General features: G+C 60.1%; 1 protein-coding gene across 7 annotated transcripts in view, besides 8 other annotated features; it reads left to right on the forward strand.

Moving 5' to 3' along the window:
• TBX1 (T-box transcription factor 1) overlaps positions 1-22890 on the forward strand; it is a 26891-nt gene continuing 4001 nt past the window's right edge. The window contains exons 1-9 of one of the 7 annotated variants that reach the window (NM_080646.2): positions 1-43; positions 2856-2975; positions 4203-4578; positions 6539-6640; positions 7453-7624; positions 8256-8411; positions 9056-9123; positions 9200-9300; positions 22518-22844. In NM_080646.2, coding sequence (NP_542377.1) covers positions 2942-2975; positions 4203-4578; positions 6539-6640; positions 7453-7624; positions 8256-8411; positions 9056-9123; positions 9200-9300; positions 22518-22705 — 1197 coding nt within the window. In that variant the 5' untranslated portion in view covers positions 1-43; positions 2856-2941 and the 3' untranslated portion in view covers positions 22706-22844. Of the gene's footprint in view, positions 44-2065; positions 2287-2855; positions 2976-4075; positions 4579-6538; positions 6641-7452; positions 7625-8255; positions 8466-9055; positions 9124-9199; positions 9301-9686; positions 10633-22517; positions 22845-22890 lie in introns of those variants that run through there. The other 6 variants (NM_080647.1, XM_006724312.3, XM_017028926.2 and 3 more) reach the window with 6 other exon arrangements.
• Positions 396-1274: an enhancer, noted in NCBI's record as "H3K4me1 hESC enhancer chr22:19744621-19745499 (GRCh37/hg19 assembly coordinates)". NCBI's record gives its function as "activates a minimal SCP1, AML or CMV promoter by ChIP-STARR-seq in naive H9 embryonic stem cells {active_cell/tissue: H9 hESC(naive)}" and the evidence as "EXISTENCE:reporter gene assay evidence [ECO:0000049][PMID:30033119]".
• Positions 500-559: an enhancer, noted in NCBI's record as "active region_18661". NCBI's record gives its function as "activates an Ori minimal core promoter by ATAC-STARR-seq in GM12878 lymphoblastoid cells {active_cell/tissue: GM12878}" and the evidence as "EXISTENCE:reporter gene assay evidence [ECO:0000049][PMID:35858748]".
• Positions 860-939: an enhancer, noted in NCBI's record as "active region_18662". NCBI's record gives its function as "activates an Ori minimal core promoter by ATAC-STARR-seq in GM12878 lymphoblastoid cells {active_cell/tissue: GM12878}" and the evidence as "EXISTENCE:reporter gene assay evidence [ECO:0000049][PMID:35858748]".
• Positions 1554-2063: an enhancer, noted in NCBI's record as "H3K27ac-H3K4me1 hESC enhancer chr22:19745779-19746288 (GRCh37/hg19 assembly coordinates)". NCBI's record gives its function as "activates a minimal SCP1, AML or CMV promoter by ChIP-STARR-seq in primed H9 embryonic stem cells {active_cell/tissue: H9 hESC(primed)}" and the evidence as "EXISTENCE:reporter gene assay evidence [ECO:0000049][PMID:30033119]".
• Positions 5131-5830: an enhancer, noted in NCBI's record as "VISTA enhancer hs515". NCBI's record gives its function as "enhancer in: limb[5/8]" and the evidence as "EXISTENCE:transgenic organism evidence [ECO:0001131][PMID:17130149]".
• Positions 5990-6932: an enhancer, noted in NCBI's record as "H3K27ac-H3K4me1 hESC enhancer chr22:19750215-19751157 (GRCh37/hg19 assembly coordinates)". NCBI's record gives its function as "activates a minimal SCP1, AML or CMV promoter by ChIP-STARR-seq in naive H9 embryonic stem cells {active_cell/tissue: H9 hESC(naive)}" and the evidence as "EXISTENCE:reporter gene assay evidence [ECO:0000049][PMID:30033119]".
• Positions 14194-14365: a silencer, noted in NCBI's record as "fragment chr22:19758419-19758590 (GRCh37/hg19 assembly coordinates)". NCBI's record gives its function as "represses an EF-1alpha promoter that drives an FKBP-Casp9 reporter gene in an ReSE screen in phorbol 12-myristate 13-acetate-treated (for megakaryocytic differentiation) K562 erythroleukemia cells {active_cell/tissue: K562(+PMA)}" and the evidence as "EXISTENCE:reporter gene assay evidence [ECO:0000049][PMID:32094911]".
• Positions 19837-20338: a silencer, noted in NCBI's record as "fragment chr22:19764062-19764563 (GRCh37/hg19 assembly coordinates)". NCBI's record gives its function as "represses an EF-1alpha promoter that drives an FKBP-Casp9 reporter gene in an ReSE screen in phorbol 12-myristate 13-acetate-treated (for megakaryocytic differentiation) K562 erythroleukemia cells {active_cell/tissue: K562(+PMA)}" and the evidence as "EXISTENCE:reporter gene assay evidence [ECO:0000049][PMID:32094911]".

Raw genomic sequence — 22890 nt, forward strand, 5'->3', positions numbered from 1 at the left:
CCGGCAGGGGGAGCGAGGAGGAAGGGAACCGCGGCCGGGCCAGGTGAGGGAGGGAGGAACACTTGCCGCGGGCCGTGCTGAGGCGCTGCGTTCGCGTGCGGAACCCGCGTGTGCCGGGCTAGGGCCATCCGACGGGCGCGCTCCCTCCGGGCTGCGGGAGGGCACGACGGGTGGGGTGGCGGCAGGTGAAGAGGAGTGTGGGCGGGTGGCGGGGTGGCGGGGCGGCGGAGCGCGGCGGGGCGGTGCCCTAGGCGGGAGGGAGGGTCGGAGGAGCCCTATCCTGCTGCGCGATGGAGGCGGTGGAGGCGGCGGCTCCGGCTGGAGGCTGGGACGGCCTCGCGCTTCGAGGGCTTCCGGGCCCCTTTAGCCGAGGGCTCCTGGAGGGTCCCAGCGTTGAGCAACGGGGTCCGGGGGTCCGAAATCAAGCGAGTGAGTATAGGCAGCCGGTGGGGTAGGGTCGGCCAACAGAGCCGGCTGGGTGGGGCCCCTCACCTCTTCCCGTCGCCCTTCTGGTTGACCAGGGTTTCCTCCACCCTGACGGCCTCTTCTCTGCTGTGGCAAGCTGGCCGCCCCTGCCTGCCTGCAGGTCCTGCTCAGGCACGAAGGGGTTAATGGGGGCTGGAAGGGCTCTGCTCCTCCCTACAAACCTCAGGCACAGAGGTCTGGGGACCTCTGGACCGATCCTTGAGCGGCTGACCCAGAGTCTCCAGGAGGCCCCAGGGTTTTTCACTTTCACTTCTCCCTCCTCAATGTTGGCCTCACCCACAGGCCCCACATCTGGCCAGTGCCCTGAGGTGTGTGCAGATGTACACAGGACACAAGCTTGGGCATACCCTCAGGCTGGGGCACATGCAGGAGCCCCACCCCCATGCCCCCACCGACTGGCCCAGGCCTCTCTGGGTGCAGACTGCCAACACAGGCACGTCTCCTGCAACACTACCAAATCTGCGGCCACCAGCATCCCTACCACCCGCCTCCACGGGACTGTCCTTCCTGCAGGAGCAGCTCCTGGGGACAATGGCTGGTCCTGCTCAGAGAGGAAGGAAAGGGGCCTGGAACCAGCTGGTCCATCCCCACACAGCACTCCTCACTGGACTTGTCCCTGGGTCCCCTCAGTGACACTGAGAGACATAAGTCATTGTCACTGTCATGGCCCAGAATGACTACTCAGGGCAAGAAAAATGCACTAAGGACAGCTTCCCTTTTCTGACATGGCCCACAAAGCTCCAGCTGCAGGCGGCAGGGGTTGTGGGGGGCAGGACATGAGGCACCCCATACAGGCAGCAACACACACCACATCCCAGACAGGCAGCACTATTCGTATACTCACCCACTGCGGCCCTGGACTCACATGCGTTCCTGAACCTCAGGCCCAGGGCCAGCCTCCCCACTGGCGCCCAGCCCCCCAGCCCGTTACTGGGCCTTCCCAGTTCCCAGCCAGCATCCTCTCCAGCCCAGGGTCTGAGGTCCTGAGATCCTAAAAACCCTGGGAGAGGTTGCCTGCCTCCCACTCCCATCCTGAGCATGCACAAGCGAAGGCTGCAATGAGGTTGTATACAGAGAGGCCTTGCAAACAGTGGCCCTGACCACCAGCACCAGGGAGGCTCCAGCAAGGCACAGAGGCTCCAGCAAGGCACAGAGGCACAGAGCTGAGGTTGACACCCAGCTGGAGAGGCCCTGTACAGGAAAGCCATGGGTGCGCTGAACTGGTTAGAGGAGACCCTGGAGACAGTAGGTGGGGAAACGCACAGGCCAAGTCAGGCCTTGGCGTCTGGGATGCCTGGGCCTAGAAACCAGGCAGAGCGGCGGGCCTCGGCCTCACTCTGCCCAGCCTGGTCGGGCCATAGAGCTTCTCCCGGCAGGCAGGCTGGCTGCTGGGTGCCGGGGGGCAGCATACGACCCAGTGGCCTGAAGTTCTCCAACATGTCCTCGTGTCCTCGGCTCCCTCGGCTGGCCAGGCTCCGCCCCCGGCCCTCCCTGCGCCCGGCCGGTGCGCAGGGAGGTCGGAGGAGCGGGCACTGCCCACCCTCCGGATGTATAAGCGTCCTGGCCAGAGGCGGGCGGTGCGCGCAAGTGCGCGTGACGCTCGGGCTCGCGGGCTGCGCAGCCTGGGCAGCGTCCCTCTGCTGGGGTCTCCAGCGACGATAGTGAGCCAACTTCAGGGGGCTGTTGGGCATTTACTGGGCTGGGTCCTGTCCTGCTGCGCCAAGGAACAGAGGACGCTGCGGCCCTGGGGCTCCTGTCAGTGGCCGGTGCGAGAGCCCAAGCTGCCCTCTCCTCACCCAGGTGCAGGGGCAGCCAGGGAGGAGGTGGAGGCGGGAGGGGCCAAGGGCAGGGGCAGGGCTGGGCTCCGGCAGCCACTCGCTGCTTCATGGGTGCCCTGCCACCTCGGGCTAGGGCTGGGTGCTGCTGGCATAGACACCTCTCCTCGGGGGGCTGTAGAAGCTGACGGTGGCTTCGCTGCACAGAGAAAGGCCGTGCCTTGGCAGGAGCAACGGGATGTTCAAGGGGCGTTGGTCATGGAGGTCCCTGGGAATGGAGGAAGGGGGCAGGGAGCTTGGAAAGCAAGAGGGCCCTGCACTTCCAGGGTGCTCCACCCGTCTGGGCCCCTCGGCTGCTACCAGCCCCAAGTGGGGGGCCCATGACGCCATAATCCTCTGGGCCAGGGGCCCCTGGCAGTGAGTGGCACCACAGGCCCCCGCCCCCGGACTCCGTGGGCTGGGCTGGGCTGGGCGCGGTGCGGCTGGGCACACGCAGTCGGAGGCGGCGCCGGCCAGGCCGCCGGGCGCCTATGGACGCGCGGAGCCCGCTGTCTCCCCGAGCCAGTGCGTTCAGCATCGCCTCTCTGGTTGCAGCGGAGGCGGCGGAGCGCACCGCCCACCAGGGCTCAGGGTCCTCCGACCGGGTGAAGCTTCGCTGGCTGCCAGGATCCCCGGCAGGGATGCACTTCAGCACCGTCACCAGGGACATGGAAGGTGAGCCTCCAGGCCGTGTCTACACTGGCCCGCCCGCCAGACCCCCTGCCTCAGCTGCTGTGGGGCCCGGGTGCAAAGTAGGTGGAGGCAGCTCTTGGTAGCGTGGGCTCCAGGCTTCTGGCTGCGATTCTGGGGCAGAGAGGAAGAGCCGGCATCCCGCCCACAGCCTGTCCCCTCACCAGCCTGGGGGCCCAGCTTGGAGATGGGCACTCAGGTATACACAGGCCCGGAAGAGGGCGAGTGAGGCTGGGAAGGAGAGCAGAGGTGGCCGTGAGCCTGGAGAGGGGGGAGGAAAGTTAATAAGAGAGGAGAGAGCGGGAGAGTTTCACAGAAGGAGAGAAAGCCTCGAGGAAGCCGTGGAGACGAAATTGAGCAAAGGGGAGAAAACACAAAAAACCCAAAGAAGAAGGTAGGGGAGAAACAGAAGGACACGAAAAGGCAATAAAAAGCAAGAGCGAAAGAGAAGAGAGAAAACGAAGGGAAAATTTAAGACAGAAAGCGAAGTCATAAAAAAGAAAAAAAGGAAAGACTTTAGTTTTTTTTTTTTTAAAAAGAAAAACATAAAAAACAAAGGACATACAAAAATAAGAGGAAAGGCACCGACTAAAAGAAAGACAAAGAATGATTAAAAATAAAGTGAAAAGGAAGGCGAGGATGGAGGAAAAGGGGAAGAGGCGGAAAGTAAAACAGAAATAAAGAGAAACTACAGAGATAGGGGAAGAAAAAAGATGATCGGGAGGGAAAATTTAAATGAGGACGACAAAGGTAAAATAACAAATTAGGAAAAGAACGTCTGGGAGAGAGAGAGGAGAAACGCACGCGGGCGGGCGGCAGAGCGAGGGCCGGCCGACGGGCCCGGCGCACCGGTGAGCCGGTCCGGGCGGTCGGGGGGCCCCGGGCCGAGCGAGCCGCGGCGGGCGGGCTGGGGGCCGGGGAGGGGGAAGGGGCGGGGGAGGGGCGAGGGCCGGGGGAGGGATCTAGTCCATTGTCTCCGCGCGGGGGTGGGGGGGCCCCGGGCGGGGCGGGGCGGGGCGCCTCCTCGGGGCCGGCCTGCGGTGTGGGGCTGCACGGCCCGGGGCGCACGCAGCGCGGCGCCCGCCACTCGGCCCGCGGCGCGGGGCAGCGCTCAGCTTGGTGGCGGGGGCGGCGGCGGCGGCCCGCGGGTCATGATCTCCGCCGTGTCCAGCCCGTGGCTCACGCAGCTCTCGCATTTCTGCGACGTTGCAGCCTTCACGGCCAGCAGCCTGAGCAGCCTGGGGGCCGCGGGGGGCTTCCCGGGCGCCGCGTCGCCCGGCGCCGACCCGTACGGCCCGCGCGAGCCCCCGCCGCCGCCGCCGCGCTACGACCCGTGCGCCGCCGCCGCCCCCGGCGCCCCGGGCCCGCCGCCGCCGCCGCACGCCTACCCGTTTGCGCCGGCCGCCGGGGCCGCCACCAGCGCCGCCGCCGAGCCCGAGGGCCCCGGGGCCAGCTGCGCGGCCGCAGCCAAGGCGCCGGTGAAGAAGAACGCGAAGGTGGCCGGTGTGAGCGTGCAGCTAGAGATGAAGGCGCTGTGGGACGAGTTCAACCAGCTGGGCACCGAGATGATCGTCACCAAGGCCGGCAGGTCAGGGCGCCCCTCCCCACGCCGCGACCCTCCCCACGTGCTGCCGCCAGGGCTGCGGGCCTCCGCCTGATCCGCGCGAGCGGGGCCGAAAGCCGGGTCGGGGGCGCGGCCTGGCCACCTGCGGGCCCCTCTGGGCCCCGCTGCCTCCTTCGCTGTTCGCCGTCCCGGCTCCGGCGACAGCCGCCCGGCGCTCCCCTCCTAACACCTATCCTCCGCCGGGGCGGGAGGAGACGGCGCGGGCCGCACGGGAACGGCGAGGAGCCCCGCGGGACTCGCCCGCCCGCCCCGCAGCCCCAGGACGCCGCGCGGCCCAGAAACCGGCCCGGCTTGGGGCGCACCCGGCTGGGGGCAGGCAGCGGCGTCCAGGGGGCCTCACCGCCCGGCCGACTCCTAGTAAATCCCACCTCAAGAAAACTCTGGTTCAGTTCTGGAGTTCAGTCTATGCGGGCAAGATAAAGAGCGGCAGCCGGGCAACTCTCTGGACACTTTCAGGAGAGGATTACCCTTAAAAACAGCGTGCACTGTTGCGTGGAAGTTGCTACCCAGTTTCCTTCAACCTAGATCCCTATAGTTGTGGGGCCTGGCTCTGTATCCAGCGGCCCGTCACCTCCCAACCGGCCTGTATTTGTTTTAAAGACCAAGAGACAAGGGGAACAAGTTTTGCAGATGCACCCGATTTGACCGGTAGACAAAGGCGGGTGCCGCGCTGTGTCTAATGTACACACCAGCTCGGAGTCCGAACAGCCAAGGGGAGCTCAGGGCCTGTTTGCAAAGCCTTCTCGTGGTTTCTGTTTCCCTGCTGCCGGCGTCCTTTCTGAGGAACCTGGGCCTGTGCTCTGCTCCAGCTCTGTGGTTTTTTTCCAGGCCCTCCTTGCTGTCCCCAGGCACACAGGCCCTCCTGAGGACAGCGGCAGCCCAGCCGCTGGCTCAGGCCAGCCCGGCAAGGGCCTTGTCGGCGCTGGGCTTCACCCGGGAGCCCACGTCCCGCAGCACCCTCCAGCCTGCAGAGGCTTCGGGTGGGGGAGGGAGCGGGCCTGTCCTAGAGGCTGGCTCCTGGCATCTGTCTTCTGCCCACCGCCTGCAGGGAGTTGCTTGTGAGGGGAGGCAGAGGGGACGGCAAGTGAGGGCCAATCCTTGTGTTGTCCTGAAGGGCCCCACGGCCACTACTGCTGTGCCATCATGTGGGGGTAGCCCATGGCCTACACCCGTCCAGGCACTGCAGAATGTCCTTTCAAGAGCCCTGACTGGTCACTGAGCCAGGGTCCAAAGCGGGGGAGATTTGAGGAACAGGAAAGACACAAACTGAGTACACTCTGGGTAGCTGCGTCTTGGGGTTATGTGTCTTAAGGGGAGTGGAAGCTTGCCCTGTGCCCTGAGGAAGGTGGGGAGACTCTTATCATGGGGCCATGATAGAGAGGGGCCCTGAGAGTCAGGGGAGGGAGGGCTCTGAGCCTTGGCCTCACTGAGGGGATTGGGTAACAGCCGAAGACCCAGCTAAAAGGGCAGCGGGGACGCCTTGAACTCACACAGGACTACCCGGTTTCACTTTGTTGGAGCCGGGAGCTGCTTCGATCAAGCTGGGGAGGCTCTGCTAAGGGCGCACGTTAGGCACCCTGCTGCCGGCCGAAGCTGGGACCAAGAGGCCAAAAAGTCAGCAAGGGCGAGGCCGAGTTTATGTAGGCCAAGGTTGCCGAAGGTGGGGGCTCCAGCGCTGGGCTGGCCATTTCTGTGTCCAGGAACGGCCCAGGAGGCTCCCCTGCTGCGCCAAGCTCCCAGTTGAGTAGGGGCCTGCCCAGATTAGAGCAGCTAAGCCAGGAAAGATGGAGCCCAAGGGCTGGGACGACACAGCAGCCCCCAGAGGCTGGAGGGAGGGGCCGAGCAGAGGGGCCGCCAGCCCCAGGCAGGTCAAGGGGGGCTGCCTTCCACCAGCTAGGGTGACCCAAGGCCTCATCACCCCCAGGCGGATGTTTCCCACCTTCCAAGTGAAGCTCTTCGGCATGGATCCCATGGCCGACTATATGCTGCTCATGGACTTCGTGCCGGTGGACGATAAGCGCTACCGGTGAGCGAGTGGTTGTAAGCGTGAGGGACCGGGAGGGCACCCTGGAAAGTGGCGGGTCTCCGCCTGGTGACCCAACTCCAAGGGTCGTCTGCACCATGAAACTCTTTAGGCACCTGCGATGCTGCCCGATCAACCCGCTCCCTCCTCCACTCCCATCTGACCCCAGACCCACAACCCTACTCCATGCCCTCTCAGAACCCGCCTCTGGAGCCGCAGGCTGCAGACAGCTCTTGCTCCCCTGGGCTGGTGTGGCCCTAGGGTGGTCAGCCAAGTACTCAGCCCCGGACTTCTTCAAGTCTCCCTCTCCCAGGAGGCCGGCCTGAGCGCCTAGTCCCCTTCCCCCATCCCCAGGGAACTCTGGATCCTGGAGCTGGGCCGGAAAGGTGGGGTGGCCAGGAGAGATTATGCAGGGCGGGCCTCAGCTGCCCGGACAATTAACAGCAATTAATAAAGAGAACGCGCACTGCCCTGTGCCTGAGGCCCGGCAAGGCCAAGTGTGGGCTCCCACCGCAGCGGCACCGGGGCGGGAGGACCCGCATCCAGCGAAATGAGATGGCAGGAGCCCAGCCTCCCCCTCTCGGTGCCCCACAGGGTGTCCAGTTCCTTGATTGTTTTGAGTGTTGGGGTGGGTGGGAGTTCTCTGTTTAGTCCATAGTCCCCCTTGGAAAAGCTCCCAGCACATGCGGCAGCAGAGGGTTCAATCTCACAGGTGGGGAAACTTCTCAAAGGCACTTTTAGGGTTCGCCCAGCACACGGGTCAAGGCCCTCTGGGTTCACCTCCACATGCACGACCCCACCCCGTGCCGCTCCAGGTACGCCTTCCACAGCTCCTCCTGGCTGGTGGCGGGGAAGGCCGACCCTGCCACGCCAGGCCGCGTGCACTACCACCCGGACTCGCCTGCCAAGGGCGCGCAGTGGATGAAGCAAATCGTGTCCTTCGACAAGCTCAAGCTGACCAACAACCTACTGGACGACAACGGCCACGTGAGCGACTGCCTCCCCAGGCTCCGGTGTCCCCCAAGGCCTCGAGTCCCGAGGCACCCGCCTGTCCCTAAGAGGCCTGTAGAATCCCCAGGCCCCCGGCTGTCCCCAGGCGGCTCTGGGCTGTCCCCGAGGAGGCCCTTTAGAGTCCCTGCGAGGCTAGAGGCTGAGGCGGAGCTTGGGCAGTGCTGGTGTGCCGATGAGGAGAGCGGCCTCTGGTCAGGGGTCGCACAGCCTAGTGGGCCTGGGCCCTGGGAGAGGGGTCGCCCTCCTTCTCTCACCCCACTCCTGATTTTATGCAGGAAGCTTTTTTAATGGAAAAGATGGGGCCCTGCAAGGGGGCTGGAGAAAGAGGCTTTATGGAGTCCAGGCCAGTGAGGTCGCTGGGCAGGCACCTAAGGAAAGAGAACCTAAACCCAGATCTTTTGCCACTTGGAGCTCATTCCTGGCAGTTGCCAATGGGTCACAGCCTCCTCTTGGCCCAGTGACCCAGCCTCATCTTGGAATTAAGGGTTTTGCCCAACTCATCCAGGAAACTCATTGCCAACTCAGACCTCAGCCCATTTCCTGGCTCCCACCCCAGATCCTCAGCCCAGCCCCACCGCTGGAGCTGATTCCCCACCTTGTCTTCCAGATTATTCTGAATTCCATGCACAGATACCAGCCCCGCTTCCACGTGGTCTATGTGGACCCACGCAAAGATAGCGAGAAATATGCCGAGGAGAACTTCAAAACCTTTGTGTTCGAGGAGACACGATTCACCGCGGTCACTGCCTACCAGAACCATCGGGTGAGGGCCTGTGGGGAGGACCTGAGCGGATTCAACGCCTCTGGAAAAGCGGGTGTAATTTTCAGTTGCCGTTTGGGGACAGTGGGTCCGCTTAGACCTGCAGGCTGTGGTCCCAGTGGAGCCCAACCCAACTGGAGCCCCACTCCCAAGGGCCTCAGGCAGCCCCCTCCCTCTCGAGGCTGGCCGGCCCAGCCTCCTATCAGCTTGACCTCTCCAGCGGCAACTGTCACTTCGTCCTGAAAGTTTGTTTTCCGAACCATTCCGGAAACTCCCCATCAGGGGCCTGATCTGAGGTTTACCCAGATTACTAGGGAACCCGCTCTGTTCCCCACCCCCCACCCCACTGCACGTGGGGGGTGGTGACCACATTCCTGTCCCAGCGAGGAGCACAGGGCCTCCATCCCCACCCACCTGGGGGACACCAGAGAGGGGTTCCCTAGTGAGAGAGGAGGTTCCTCAGACCCCCGCCCCCCTGCAGGAGGGAGCACCAGCTCCGTAGAGGAGGGGCAGACGTGGACTGGTTCTTGTCAGGGCAGCAGAAAGGCCCTTGGTGCGCTTCTCCTAACACTCCCCTATCCTCCGCCGAGGTCGGGTGGCCCAGGCTGCAGGGCTCCAGCGGCTTGCTCACACCCACCTCCCTGCAGATCACGCAGCTCAAGATTGCCAGCAATCCCTTCGCGAAAGGCTTCCGGGACTGTGACCCTGAGGACTGGTGAGTGTCCTCCCCCGAGAGAGTGAGCGCCGGGCGCCTGGCGCAGGCGCCGCCCTGATCCGCCTCCCGCCCGCAGGCCCCGGAACCACCGGCCCGGCGCACTGCCGCTCATGAGCGCCTTCGCGCGCTCGCGGAACCCCGTGGCTTCCCCGACGCAGCCCAGCGGCACGGAGAAAGGTAGGGCCGGGGTCGTGGGATCCGGGTTCCGGCCCTGTGCGCGCTCTACCCCGGGCCGGCGGCCTCGCCCGACCTCGCCTGCGCCCCCGGGGCGCTCCAGGCTTTCGCGCCGGTTGCACAACGGCCGCGGCGGCGGGCAAGCGCGCACTCGCCCGCCCGGCCCGACGGCTGCGCCCCGCCCGCCGCCGCCGCCGCCCGCAGAGGGGCGCGGGCCCCGGGGAGGGCTCGGGGCGCCGGCGACTTGGGGTCTCGGGCACGCTGGCACCGACTGGTCGGGGAACACCGAGGGCGGCCAAGAGCCTTCTCTCCGCCAGGGCCTCGCATGGGGCGTCGGAGCTCCTCGGCGGCCCCGGCCGGCCGCGCTCACTCCTCGGCCCTCTCCGCAGACGCGGCTGAGGCCCGGCGAGAATTCCAGCGCGACGCGGGCGGGCCAGCAGTGCTCGGGGACCCGGCGCATCCTCCGCAGCTGCTGGCCCGGGTGCTAAGCCCCTCGCTGCCCGGGGCCGGCGGCGCCGGCGGCTTAGTCCCGCTGCCCGGCGCGCCCGGAGGCCGGCCCAGTCCCCCGAACCCCGAGCTGCGCCTGGAGGCGCCCGGCGCATCGGAGCCGCTGCACCACCACCCCTACAAATATCCGGCCGCCGCCTACGACCACTATCTCGGGGCCAAGAGCCGGCCGGCGCCCTACCCGCTGCCCGGCCTGCGTGGCCACGGCTACCACCCGCACGCGCATCCGCACCACCACCACCACCCCGTGAGTCCAGCCGCCGCGGCCGCCGCCGCCGCTGCCGCAGCTGCCGCGGCCGCCAACATGTACTCGTCGGCCGGAGCCGCGCCGCCCGGCTCCTACGACTATTGCCCCAGATAACACGGGCCCTGTCGCGCTCCCGCCCCGGTCCTGCACAGCCCCGAAGTTCGCCGGGCCCGGCCACCCTGCCCCAAGGGCAAGCAAGGAATACGTTCCCCCAGCCCCAGGGGCCACCGCGGCTCTCCCCTTCCCCAGCCTCGAAGCCATGGGGGCCCCCTCGCCACCCCCAGCCCCTTGGGCTATCGAAGTATCCGGTTCCCCAGTCCCTGGAGCCACCGCGGGTCCTTCCCCGGCCCCGAGGGCCAAGGGGGTCCCCGCCCGCCAGTGCCAAAGCGCCCGGTCGGAGGCGGAAGGAAGTGATATTTATTGTTCTCCCCGAGACCGCGTCGCCCGCGGCCCGGCCGGCAGTTGCAGTGTAGACAGCCCGAGAGCCCCGCCTGCAGGCGGTGTAGATACATGTAGATACTGTAGATACTGTAGATACCGCCCCGGCGCCGACTTGATAAACGGTTTCGCCTCTTTTGGAAGCCGCCTGCGTGTCCATTTATTTGTGCCCAGTTAGATCGCGTTGGGAATCTTCGGGACAGCGAGCCCGGGGTAGCTCAGGGCCCTCAGGGCCTCCCCAGCCCCAATCCCTGCCGACTGTAGGTCGGTCCCGGTCCCACAGCGCCCTGTCCGCCACGCCTCCTGCCCTCTGCCCGCCCCATAGGGGCTCCCACTGCCCCTCCCCTCTCCGAGGCCCCTCCTGCCAGGCCTGTGCACTCCCCCCACCTTCCCACCGTCCCGTCTCATCCCAACCTCCCCAGGGCTGGTGGTACCGCCCAGGTGTGCATCCTGCCTTTTTACTTAAATTCCTCCCACCTGCAGTTGTCCCTATTCTGGGACTTGGGCCTGCGCCCTGGCCTGTTTTCGGGACAGATGCTTGTGCTTTTCCATGGAAGCTGGGAAGAAGGGTCATGACAGACACTGCCGGTCGGTGCTGGGAGGGGGAGAAGCCCCTGACCGGGATGGGGTCATGGAAAGACAAAAACAGGCAGCACTGTTCTGCTAGCATTTCCCCTGCCGGCCTAGCCCAGGCCCGCATGTTCCCTCCTTAGTGACTTTATTTGCTGTGAGTGTCCCTACGGAGTGACCTGGCCAGGGGGCACAATGACAGTAGCCATGAGTCATCTTGAGACCTGTGTATGAAGCATTTTTCCCAGGCCAGGTGGCTAAGGGACCTCTCCCCGTTAACTCAACACCAGGGATGGGGCGAGAGGAACTCTTTGATCCCTCCCTTCCTGAGCGCAAGCAGGAAGGGCTGACAGCCGGTCAGCGCCAAGGCTGCTGACTTGGACACAAGATGAACGGGAAGTGCACGTGGCCGAGGCTCTGTCCCCCACCTCCCGTGCCTGTCCCAGTGTGTTTGTGGCAACTGCTGCCTTCTAGGCCACTCGGCTCATCACCCCACGTGGTAGCGGCAGCCTGAGTGCCACCTCTCCGAGGGCACAGCCAGGAGTTTCCAGATGTCCACCCTCGCGGACCTGTTTTTCGTATACATGTTTGCTCTGGCGGCGTGAAGTGAGTGGGGTCTTAGTAATTGAATGGCAGGAACCATTCCCAGAGGCCAGTCTAGGGTGGGAGGGGGTCTCCAGGGGCCATCCAAAGCCTCAAAGGGCATCTAGCACCAGAGAGTGAGGACCTCTGCAGCATCTGCCCAGGCTCCGTGAGCACGGCTTTGGAGATGCATTTGGGGGGACGGCTGTGGATGCCCATTCCCAAGTCCTGATCCCCACCTGCGTGAACTTGGGGCAGCCATTACCCATGTGCCCCACGGTGGGTGGGGCTTTGCACTGCAGAGGGCCTCCCTCTCTTGCTGTCAGAAGGCAGCCATTCCGTACTCCACATCCAGGATGTGCGGAGGGGCTGCCATTCGAGACCTCCGCCTTGGTTTTGTTCAGAGCTAAAGGGAGGAAAAGCCCTCCCCTGAACAAAGAGCAAACACAGTGTTTGTAAATGAGGGTGGGACACACAGCAATGTGCAAGGACCCTGAGTGTGCAGCAAACTGGCCTGTTACCGTGCCCCTCCTGTTGGGATGGCCATGCAAGATGGAGCACCCAGCCGTCCAGCAGGGCCGCCGCTGGCCATCCGGGGCTGTTCGCATTCTTTTTTTTTTTTTTTTTTTTTTTTTGAGACTGAGTCGCGCTCTGTCGCCCAGGCCGGAATGCCGTGGTGCGATCTCGGCTCACTGCAACCTCCGCCTCCTGGGTTCAAGTGATTTCTTTTGCTTCAGCCTCAGAGTAGCTGGGACTACAGGAATGTACCACCATGCCCGGCTAATTTTTGTATTTTTAGTAGAGACGGGGTTTCACCATGTTGGCCAGGCTGGTCTCGAACTCCTGACCTCAGGTGACCCGCCTGCCTTGGTCTTCCAAAATGCTGGGCTTTCAGGCATGAGCCATCACACTCGGCCACACGTCCTAATGAACTAGGATTCATTAAACATTCAGGTCCTCACTGGCCCCATTCCAGGTGCTCCGTGGCTCACAGGCCGCGGGTCACCACACTGCTGCTGTTGCTGCTGAGGGCACTCCCACGCTGGGCAGTGGCCCCCAGAAGTGTGGGTTTCCTCCCCTCCACCTTTGTAGATGAGTTTGTGCATCTGAGAACTTCTTGTAAATGAGAGCTCGCAGGCCGGCGTCTGGGTGGCAGCTTCCGCTGGCTGTGTGTCTGCAAGACTGGCGCACGCCGCTGCTCACCGTCCCTCATGTGCTCAGTCCTCAACCAGTGCCCAGTGATTGCCTGCCCGCTGCGGGGGCTGTCTGGCTGATGCCCCAGCCACTACCGTTCCTGTGGAGGTGACGTTCCCATGGGCAGCTGCCCTAAGGCCTGGCTTCCAGCAGCTTCCTCTGTGACAGCTGTGATCTGAACGTTCACCCCCAAGGTGATGGTGGCAGGAGATGGAGCCTTTAGGCGGTGATTAGGTCACGAGCGTGGAGTCCTCATGAGTGGGATTAGTTGAGTGCTATGCTGCTCACAGACCTCCAGCCTCCAGAACTGGGAGAAATAACTGTCCATTGTTGATAAGCCACCGGGCCTATGGTCATTTGTCCTAGCTGCACTACTGGACTGACAGTGGCCGTTCTTCCATCTCCTTCTTGTTCCCTGTTTTAGGTTCCCCGTTGAGCACACCTGCCCTGCCCCTTCTGTAAGCTGCTGTGATGGGCAGTATGGTGTAGGGGATAGGGGGCTCGTCCCACCGCTGTTCCCCCACAGGCTCCCCCTCAGCTGTTGGACTTCCCCCAAACATCCTCCTCCAGGTTCCCTAGCTGGTCCAGAGGCCCCGTTGCCCTCCCCTAGCCTGGCTGCAGACGTCCAGCTGCCAGGACTCAGGAGGACGAGAGACCAGAAGGGCCCCCAGACTCCTCACTCCCAAAAACTCTCCAAAAACAACAGATGCACAACGCAGGAAATAGATAGATTCTTGACTAAGCGGGGGTGGGGACCATCCACACCCCCTTCACACCACTGCATCCCACGGAAGGGTTCTAGGACCCCAGGGCCTGGGGGTGCAGCTGGACGATCCTGCAGTAGCCCCGCTCCCTGTTTTCAGAAGACCCCCCCACGGCTGCCCTCTGCAGCATGTGCCCCTTTGTCGAAGGGACAATGGGCACTCCATTGCCCAGAGAGGCTTCTCACCCAGGAAAGCACTGGAGGTGCAGAGGCAGGAGCACGCGGGGGCTTGGCTGCGGGACAAGGCGAGTCTGTTTGGTGGCACCTTGAGCTGCGGAGGAAGACAAGACCCTGGCCCGGTGGAGATGAGACCCTGGCCTGGTGGGCTTCAGGCCCCACCCTGCGGCGCACCCTCCAGCTGGGGAAGTCCATGGGGTGTGTGGGATCCATGCGATGACAGTTGTATGAGGCTGAGGCCCTGATCTCCAGGTGTGCCGCAGATCAAAGCACCCGCATACCAGAGAATTCCACGTAGCCACAGTTGCCAAGGGCAGAGGCAGCCTCACCTCTCACTGGTGGAGGGAGAGTGATGGGTGAGGAGCTGCTTCTAGGACGAAAGGGATGGCTCCAGTGTGTCAGGCAGTGCAACCCAACCAGGAGCTGGGCACCAGGGGAGAGCATGTGGCCCGTGTTCCAGAGACTCTGTGTTCCAGAGACTCAGTTTTCCCTTCAGCTGTGGTGCTGACCTCCGCCCTGTGTGGAGAAGCTCTCTGTCAACAGTGGAGGCCTGTGTCAGCCATGGGCACGGGGACGTTCATTCCTGCTTCTCTCCTCCCTGTGGGTTCCAATGAGGCGGTGTGCTCGGGCAGGGTCCACAAGCATCTGCACCATCCTGCCTCTCCTCCTTGCCAAGCTCCTTCACCCCCCGCCCTGAAGGAGCATCCTGCAGAGCCTGGCCAAGGAGCAGGTGGGGGCACGGCCCCCCAGCCTGGCATAGTGGCACCCAAGCCTAGGGAGGGCAGGATGAGACCTTTTTCCTTGGTGCTACCTCACACATTTTCTGGATTTCAAAAAACACAACTGGTGCCTTTGATTCAATTCCCTTTCCTGCTTGTTGTACTACTTCAAACCAGATGGGCTCCTCAGATGAAACTCCGGAGACTCAGTGTCTCTCTTTAACCGCTGCCAGGTCTGTGTGTGGGAAACAGCAGAACCAGAAATATTTTGCTAAAACCAGCCCATGTGGGGGAGAGGCTTAGCTTTTAATAGCAGTAATTAAATTATCTTCTTAATTATAAAGGGTGATGGCATTGTCAACATGCTTTATCTATCAGCTTTCAATTGCACAAAGTAAGCACGTAATCCTCTCCTCCCGGCCCCACTGGCATCCTCTGCTCTGTGGCCAGCCCAGGCCCCCTTCCTGCAGTGCAGACCCCCAGAAGCTTTGGGGTGCATCTCCCCATTTCACCAGTTCTGAGGTGCACAGGGTTTTTTGCCTGCATTTCAACACCTCTGAAGTTGGTGTTCTCTTATTCAAAGTGGGGGGTCTCAGCCTAACTGAAGGATCTTGGCTGCACATGAAACCATGGTGCAGTGGCAGTTGCCAGGGTGCTGCAGTTGAGGCCCATGTCGGTGCGCCCACTGTGGCCTCGGGCAACGCTGGGTGCCAGCATGTTGCTCTGGGTGACTTTCTTGCAGGTGGTGACTCCGGCTTCTGTCTCCAGCCCTTACAGTGGCCCTGTCCTTCCAGGACCTTACTCTTCATTCACATCATTTCTCAGGACACTCCTCCCTGCACATCCCTAGTCTTCCCCATCTCCTCTTCATTCCTCTGTCATTCTAGCTTCAGTTCCTCTCAACAGTTTTTTTGTTTGTTTTTTGAGATAGAGTCTTGCTCTGTCGCCCAGGCTGGAGTGCAGTGGCACAATCTCAGTTCACTGCAACTTCCGCCTCCTGGGTTCAAGCGATTCTCCTGCCTCAGCCTCCCAAGTAACCGGGATTACAGATGTCCGCCACCACGCCCGGCTAATTTTTGTCTTTTTAGTAGACATGGGTTTCACCATGTTGGCCTTTTTTTCTTTTTGAGACAGGGTCTTGCTCTGTTGCCCAGGCTGGAGTGCAGTGGTGTGATCATGGCTCACTGTAGCCTCGAACTCCGGGGCTCAAGCCATCCTCCAGACTCAGCCTCCTGATTAGCTGGGACTACAGGCGTGTGCCACCACACCCTGCTAATATTTTGTAGAGACATATGAGTCTTGCTATGTTGCCCAGGCTGGTCTTGAACTCCTGCCTCTTGAACTCTTGGCCTCAAGTGATCCTTTGGCCTCAGCCTCCCAAATTGCTGGCATTACAAGCGTGAGCCACCGTGCCCAGCCCTCTTCTCAAATAGTTTTTTTTTCCCCTCCGTTTCTGAATTCATCCTTTATCTCAGAATATGTTTTCCGGATTACTCCCCCAAGACAAGCTTTTTTTCTTGTGACATCATCACAGAACGAAGATGGTGACAGCAGCAGGGCCACAAAACAGTCCCCAGTCTACCCAGTTGCTCATGGCTGTGGTTTGGACCTTCAGCCATGAGGCAGTACGTCTTCCCAGGGCAGGGTAGGGACCTTCACCGCGGGGCTGGGTCTCAGGAGCTGCCGGGCGCCCTTCTCCAGCCCGCCTTTGTGATAAGGGACAGAATCGGGGTCACTGGCAGGACACAGGTCCCCTTCCCTGTCGCCTCAGGCTGGTGGGATTCCTGCACCCGAGTGCTGCTGGGGCTGCAGGCGAGGCCTGGGCTACACAGGAAGCCCGGGCACCGCAGAGTGGCCGCTAGCTGGTGGCATTGTTCCTCCACGGATTCAGAGCTTACGAGCACGGGCGTTGAGCTGAGGCAAAATACGGAAACAGCCACTTCCATGCAAATAATCACCCTTCTGATAACAATAAGTCAAGTCTCAAGGGACTAAGAAAAACAAGCAGCTTTATTAAGATGCAGCTGACCGATCTGAAAGCCTGCCTGCTCCGCCACCTCCTGGGAGAGCCTGCAGGGCCCGAGCTCTGGGGACAAGAGCTGCTGCTCAGGCCCCAGAGGAAGGTCTAGGTGGGAAATGGGCCGCCAGGAGGTGGACACCAACACATAGGAGCACATCCCAAGACACCCATCACCCTGTGTGGTGGGTGCTGGAAAGAAACAGCCTAGTTATGAGAGAGACTTGCAACTGGGGGCACCCTAGCACCCCACGGAGGCATTTCCAGGTGGCCCCTCCAGCTTGGCTGTGTGGGCTTCCTTGGAGGACCCTCCCTCCAGGCGGCCAGCCAGAAGGGGCCATCTCCAGGCAGGCACCCCCTTCAGGAGAGCCCATGCCCAGTCACTGCCTGGGAAGCTTACTGCAGGGCTGGCCCCCACCTGCCACTGTCACCTCCTGACCTCCACCTGCTCTCCTGGGTCCTCAGGCCTCACACAGTCCTGTCCTTCTAACAGGTGACTGCAGGATGGAGCCCCAGGCATCTCGGCATCCTGATGCGGTCACTGCCAGGAGGGGAGTGGTCTCAGGGTGGGCCAGACCCCTGGACACCAGCGTGGTCTCCTTCCTGAGCTGCCGAGGGAGATTTGCCTGGCAAAGCCCACCTGGCCCCTCGGCCCTCAGCCGCCGAGTTTCCCTCCTGCAGTGGGAGGTTTCCCACGACTGGAGGGAAGCAGTGGCTATTCCAGTAGTAGCTGTTTCTCATGCACAGGTCTCTTCCCCAGAAAGAATTTGAGCTGCAGGACAGAGATCCTATCACATATATACCCAGAAGGTGATTCAAGGTGAATATTAAAGACTTGGATATCCATTAGGATGATGATGATTTTAAAAAACAAAAACAGAAAACAACACGTGTTGGTGAGGACATGGAGCCCCTGGAAGCCGTCTACACTGCTGGTGGGACTGTAAGATAGTGCAGCTTCTGTGGGGAACAGTGTCATGGGTCCTTGAAAAATTATACAGTTGTTAGGGAGAGTGAAGCAGGAGGACTGCTTGAAGCCAGGAGTTCAAGACCCGCCTGGGCGGGCCTAGGCACCTGTAGTCCCAGCTACTCAGGAGGCTGAGGCAGGAGGATCGCTTGAGCCCAGGAGTTCCAGGCTGCAGTGAGCTACGATCACACCACTCCACGCCAGCCTGAGTGACAGAGCAATATCTTGTCTCTAAAATCAATTAAAATTCTACATAGAACCGTATGTTCCAGGAATTCCACTTCTGGGAAAATACCCAAGAGAATTGAAAGCAGAGTCTCAAAGAGATATTTCTCCACCCATGTTCATAGCAGCATTACTCAAATAGCAAAAGGTGGAGGCGAGCCGAGCGTCCACCGATAAGTGAACGGATCAACAAAATGTGGTGTGTGTGTACCGTGGAGTATTATCCAGCCTTAAAGAGGAAGGGAATTCTGTTACATGCTACAACAGGGATGAACCCTGAGGTCCTTATGCTCCGTGAATTGAGCCGGTCACAAAGGACACATTTTGTACTGTACAATTCCACTTGCATGAGGCACCTCAAGTAGTCAGATTCAAGAAACAGACAGGAGAATGGGGATTGTTAGGGACTGGGGGAGAGGAATGGGGAGTTGGCGTCTAGTGGGGACAGAGGTTCCATTTTGCGTTCATCTGGAGGTGGACGCACAGCATCGGGAATACACAATGCCACTGAATTGTGTACTTCAACATGGTCACAATGGCACATTCTTTATTTTTTGTAGAGACAGGGTGTCACTGTGTTGCCCAGGCTAGCCTCGAACTCGGGTTCAGGCTCTCCTTCCACCTCGGCCTCCCAAAGTGCTGGGATTATAGGTGTGAGCCACCACACCTGGCCAAATTTGTGGGTTTTTTGGTTTTTATGTTTTTGAAACAGAGTTTCTCCCTTGTCACCTAGGCTGGAGTACAGTGGCGCGATCTTGGCTCACTGCAACCTTTACCTCCTGGGTTCAAGCGATTCTCCTGCCTCAGCCTCCCAAGTAGCTGGGATTACAGGCACCTGCCAACACACCCAGCTAATTTTTTCTATTTTTAGTAGAGACGGGGTTTCACCATGTTGGCCAGGCTGGTCTCGAACTCCTGACCTCAGGTGATCCGCCCACCTCAGCCTCCCAAAGTGCTGGGATTACAGGAGTGAGGCGCTGCGCCCAGCCAAAATTTGTGTTTTTAAATGTATGTTTAACAATTTAAAAATCCTAGATCATCCACAGTTTGCAAAAGCCACTGCTATCCATCTTGGATTGACCAATTCCCTACCTGCCTCTAAAGCGGTGGTTTTTTAACAGGAGCAGTCTTGCCCCCTGGGGTGTTTGACAGTGCCTGGGACACTGGGTGGGGGTGCTTCTGGCATCTGGTGGGTGGAGGTGGGGTATGCTTTTCACCTCCTGCAATGCACGCTCGGAACCACAGGTCCGGAGCCATGGGGCTGCTGTGGCGAGGTCTTCCCACATGGCCGCACCCTGTCTGAAGGAGCTAGTGGTGGGGCCCCGAATATTCTGAGGCCAGGAGCTCCCAAGTCCCACCTGGCATGAAGCGGTGCCCCAGGGCCCTCTCCGCACTCCTCCCCCTGCCCAAGTGGGCCCAGACTCCCCAGTGAGGCCGCATGGCCTGGAGTGCTCGCCTGGAGCCTGAGGGGTCTGGCTGCTGTGAGGTGGGCTTCGAGGGTGGCTGCCAGGCTGTGCTGGAGAGGGCTGGGCATCAGAAGGCTGGTGACAGCCTTGCAGGGAGACGGAGGGTTACCGGAGCCATCCCTGGAGGTGGCCCCTCCAAGTGCTCGGGCCCCAGGCAAGTCCCACCGGCTCCCGAGTGGAAGGTGTAAGCCACGTGGGCACAGGTGGGAGGGAGTTCTCACCACCCATGGCTGCTAGTGCCCCTGAAACCACCTGGAAGTCCCAGCGGCTTCCCCAGGGACAGGCAGTGCTGTGGCCCGTGTCCACCCCAGCTCTGGGGCCTGTGCTCGTGGCTCCGTGTCTGCCCGTGGTCTCCCTCTCTCTCAGGGGTGGTTTCTCTGTCCCTACCCAATATGGTGCTCTATAGCTTTCCTTAGGATCCTAGCTCCTCAGGAGGAAGACGTGTGGCCCCTTGCTCCAGGAAGGCCCAGTCCTCCCTCACTGGGGGTGGGAGGGTAAGGCAAAAGTGCCAAAGTGTCCATCCCATGAATGCAAGACACACAGTGCCTGCTCTAGAAGAGCTCATGTTCCAGCAGGGACAGCTAACACCCAGGGGCCTGCACGGGGTGGAGGGCTCTTCAGAGGCAGGATCACCTCGGAGATGGGTGCAGGGGACCTCGGGCCACCCCAGGGCCAGGCCTGCTTGCCCTGCTTAGGAGCTGGGTCTCCCACTCAGGGAGGGAGGGGTCATGTCTCAAGGGCAGCCACTGGGCCTGAAAAGCAGAACCGCATGTGATCAGTCTGGGTGGGCAAGACTTCAAGAGAGCACGCCTACCCTCAAGGGATGGAAGCAGAGGCTGGTAGCCGACGTCCATGCCAGCCACCAACTCAGAGCCAGCACACTACCCGCATGTGCCTCTGCCAATGAGTGGATGAAAAGCAGCGACCTACAGATGCAGGCAACCTGGATGAGTCTTGACTTTATCTCACGGAGGGAAGGAAGCAGGCTCGGGAGGTGCCGTGCCGCGTGGCTCTGTTTATAAGCTGTCTGGGAAAAGGCAAAACCACAGTACAGAACACAGATCAGCCAGTGCAGGCAGGAAGGGCCAGCACACGGGGTGGGAGGAGCTTCCTGGGTAACGCTCAATCCCATACGCTACAGAGGGCGCATGTTATTGAACATTAAGGTTTTTTTAAAAAATTTTAATTTAATATAATTTAATTATTATTATACTGTTTTAGGGTACATGTGCACAACATGCAGGTTTGTTACATATGTATACATGTGCCATGTTGGTGTGCTGCACCTATTAACTCGTCATTTAGCATTAGGTATGTCTCCTAATGCTATCCCTCCCCCTCCCCCTACCCCACAACAGTCCCCGGAGTGTGATGTTCCCCTTCCTGTGTCCGTGTGTTCTCATTGTTCAATTCCCACCTATGAGTGAGAACATGCGGTGTTTGGTTTTTTGTCCTTGCGATAGTTTGCTGAGAATGATGGTTTCCAGTTTCATCCATGTCCCTATGAAGGACATGAGCTCTTCATTTTTTATGGCTGCATAGTATTCCATGGTGTATATGTGCCACATTTTCTTAATCCAGTCTATCGTTGTTGGACATTTGGGTTGGTTCCAAGTCTTTGCTATTGTGAATAGTGCTGCAATAAACATACGTGTGCATGTGTCTTTATAGCAGCATGATTTATAATCCTTTGGGTATATACCCAGTAATGGGGTGGCTGAGTTCTACTCTTATAAAGAGCGTGCTGGCCTTTCCCATGCCTTCTCGTCTGTTTTGACCCATTCTGGGTATCGGTCCTTTTCGTCTCCCCCTCTCCATCCTCTCTCAGCCCCTTTCACTGGGTTTCAGTGTGCTGGGCACAGGTTCAGGGTGTGTTGTTACTCTTAATTTTTTTTTTTTTTTTTTTGAGACAGGGTCTCCCTCTGCCCCCCAGCCTGGAGTGCAGTGGTATGATCATGGCTCACGGCAGCCTTGACCTCCTAGGCTCAAGTGATCCTCTTACCTCAACCTCCCATGTAGCTGGGAACACAGGCACGCACCACCATGCCCGGCTAATTTTTAAGTTTTTTGTGGAGATGGGATTTTGCCATGTTGCTCAGGCTGGTCTCGAACTCCTGAGCTCAAGTGATCCTCTTGCCTTGGCCTCTCAAAGTGCTGGGATTACAGGCGTGAGCCACCACACCCAACCAGGATTTATTACTCTTAACTAGTAAAACAGCACATTCCTGCTCATTTCAAGAGACAGGATCTTGCTCTGTCACCCAGGCTGGAGTGCAGTGGCATCGTGATCAAGGCTCACTGCAGCCTCAACCTCCCAGTCTCAAGCAAACCTTCCTCCTCAGTCTCCCGAACAGCTAGGACTACAGGTGTGTGCCACCACACCTGGCTTTTTTGATGTTGTTGTTGTTGTTAGAGATGGGGGTCTCACTATGTTGCCCAGGCTGGTCACAAACTCCTGAGCTCAAGTGATCCTCCCGCTTTTGCCCTCCAAAGCACTGGGATTATAGGTGTGAGCCACTGCACCTGGCCATTGCTCCTTATTTCTTTTCTTTCTTTCTTTTCTTCTTCTTTTTTTTTTTTGAGACGGAGTTTCGTTCTGGTTGCCCAGGCTGGAGTGCAATGGCGTAGTCTCAGCTCACTGCAAACTCCACCTCCTGGGCTCAAGCAATCCTCCTGCCTCAGCCTCCCAAATAGCTGGGATTACAGGCATGCGCCACCATGCCTGGCTAATTTTTGTATTTTCAGTAGAGACGGGGCTTCACCATGTTGGGCAGGCTGATCTCAAACTCCTGGGCTCAAATGATCCGCCTGCCTCAGCCTCCCAAAGTTCTGGGATTGTAGGCATGAGCCACCGTGTCCAGCCCCTTTGAAACCCCATCTCTACTAAAAATATAAAAGTTAGCTGGACGTGGCGGCAGGTGCCTGTAATCCCAGCTACTTGGGAGGCTGAGGCAGGATAACTGCTTGAACTTGGGAGGTGGAGGTTGCAGTGAGCTGAGATTGCACCACTGCACTCCAGCCTAGGCAACAATAAGACTCCGTCTCAAACAAATAAAATAAATAAAAGTAGGTAAGGGGGAGATCTGGTTCCCTGATCCGACGTCTTTCCTTGGGGTCACTGACTGTGGGAAAGGCCTGTGCTGGGCTGAGGTGGGACCTGGTGTGGCTGTGGAGGCCGTGTCTGTGTCTGTGTCCTGTGGGCGGCTCGGCTCGTTGGGAGATGCAGTCCTGTCCTGCCCTTCCATGCGGTTCAGACACTGGACATTTGTGCAGTCTGATCTGCAAGAAAAGAGAGGCACCTCTGACATGGTACTTCATCCACTCTCATTGGATGGGGTTGTCACCCAGGTGGACATGTCCTGAAGGACAAGGAAGTGAAAGCTGAGACGTCTAGGAACACACCAGAGAGAGAAGTGGAGCTTCTGAGGGATGCAGGTGGCTGTGTGAACCTGGGGCTCCCCTGCCCCGCAGAGTGCCAACCCTTCAATACCCAGGGCCTGGTGGCTGGGAGGACCGCAGGTGACCGTCTTTGTTGAATGCTGAGGCCGGGCCATGGGCACATGGAGTTGTCGTGTTTCCCTTCACTTTGGTTCATGTTTGAAATTTCCAAAATTAAAAAAACAGTGACTTGTTCAGTAAATTCCAATATGAATAAAGTGCATGTTTTGTAATAAATACTTCTCCATAGAGTCACACTCCCAGTTGATAAATCAAAACTTGT

This window comes from Homo sapiens, chromosome 22 (assembly GCF_000001405.40).
Source record: "Homo sapiens chromosome 22, GRCh38.p14 Primary Assembly".
Taxonomy (NCBI): Eukaryota; Metazoa; Chordata; class Mammalia; order Primates; family Hominidae; genus Homo; species Homo sapiens.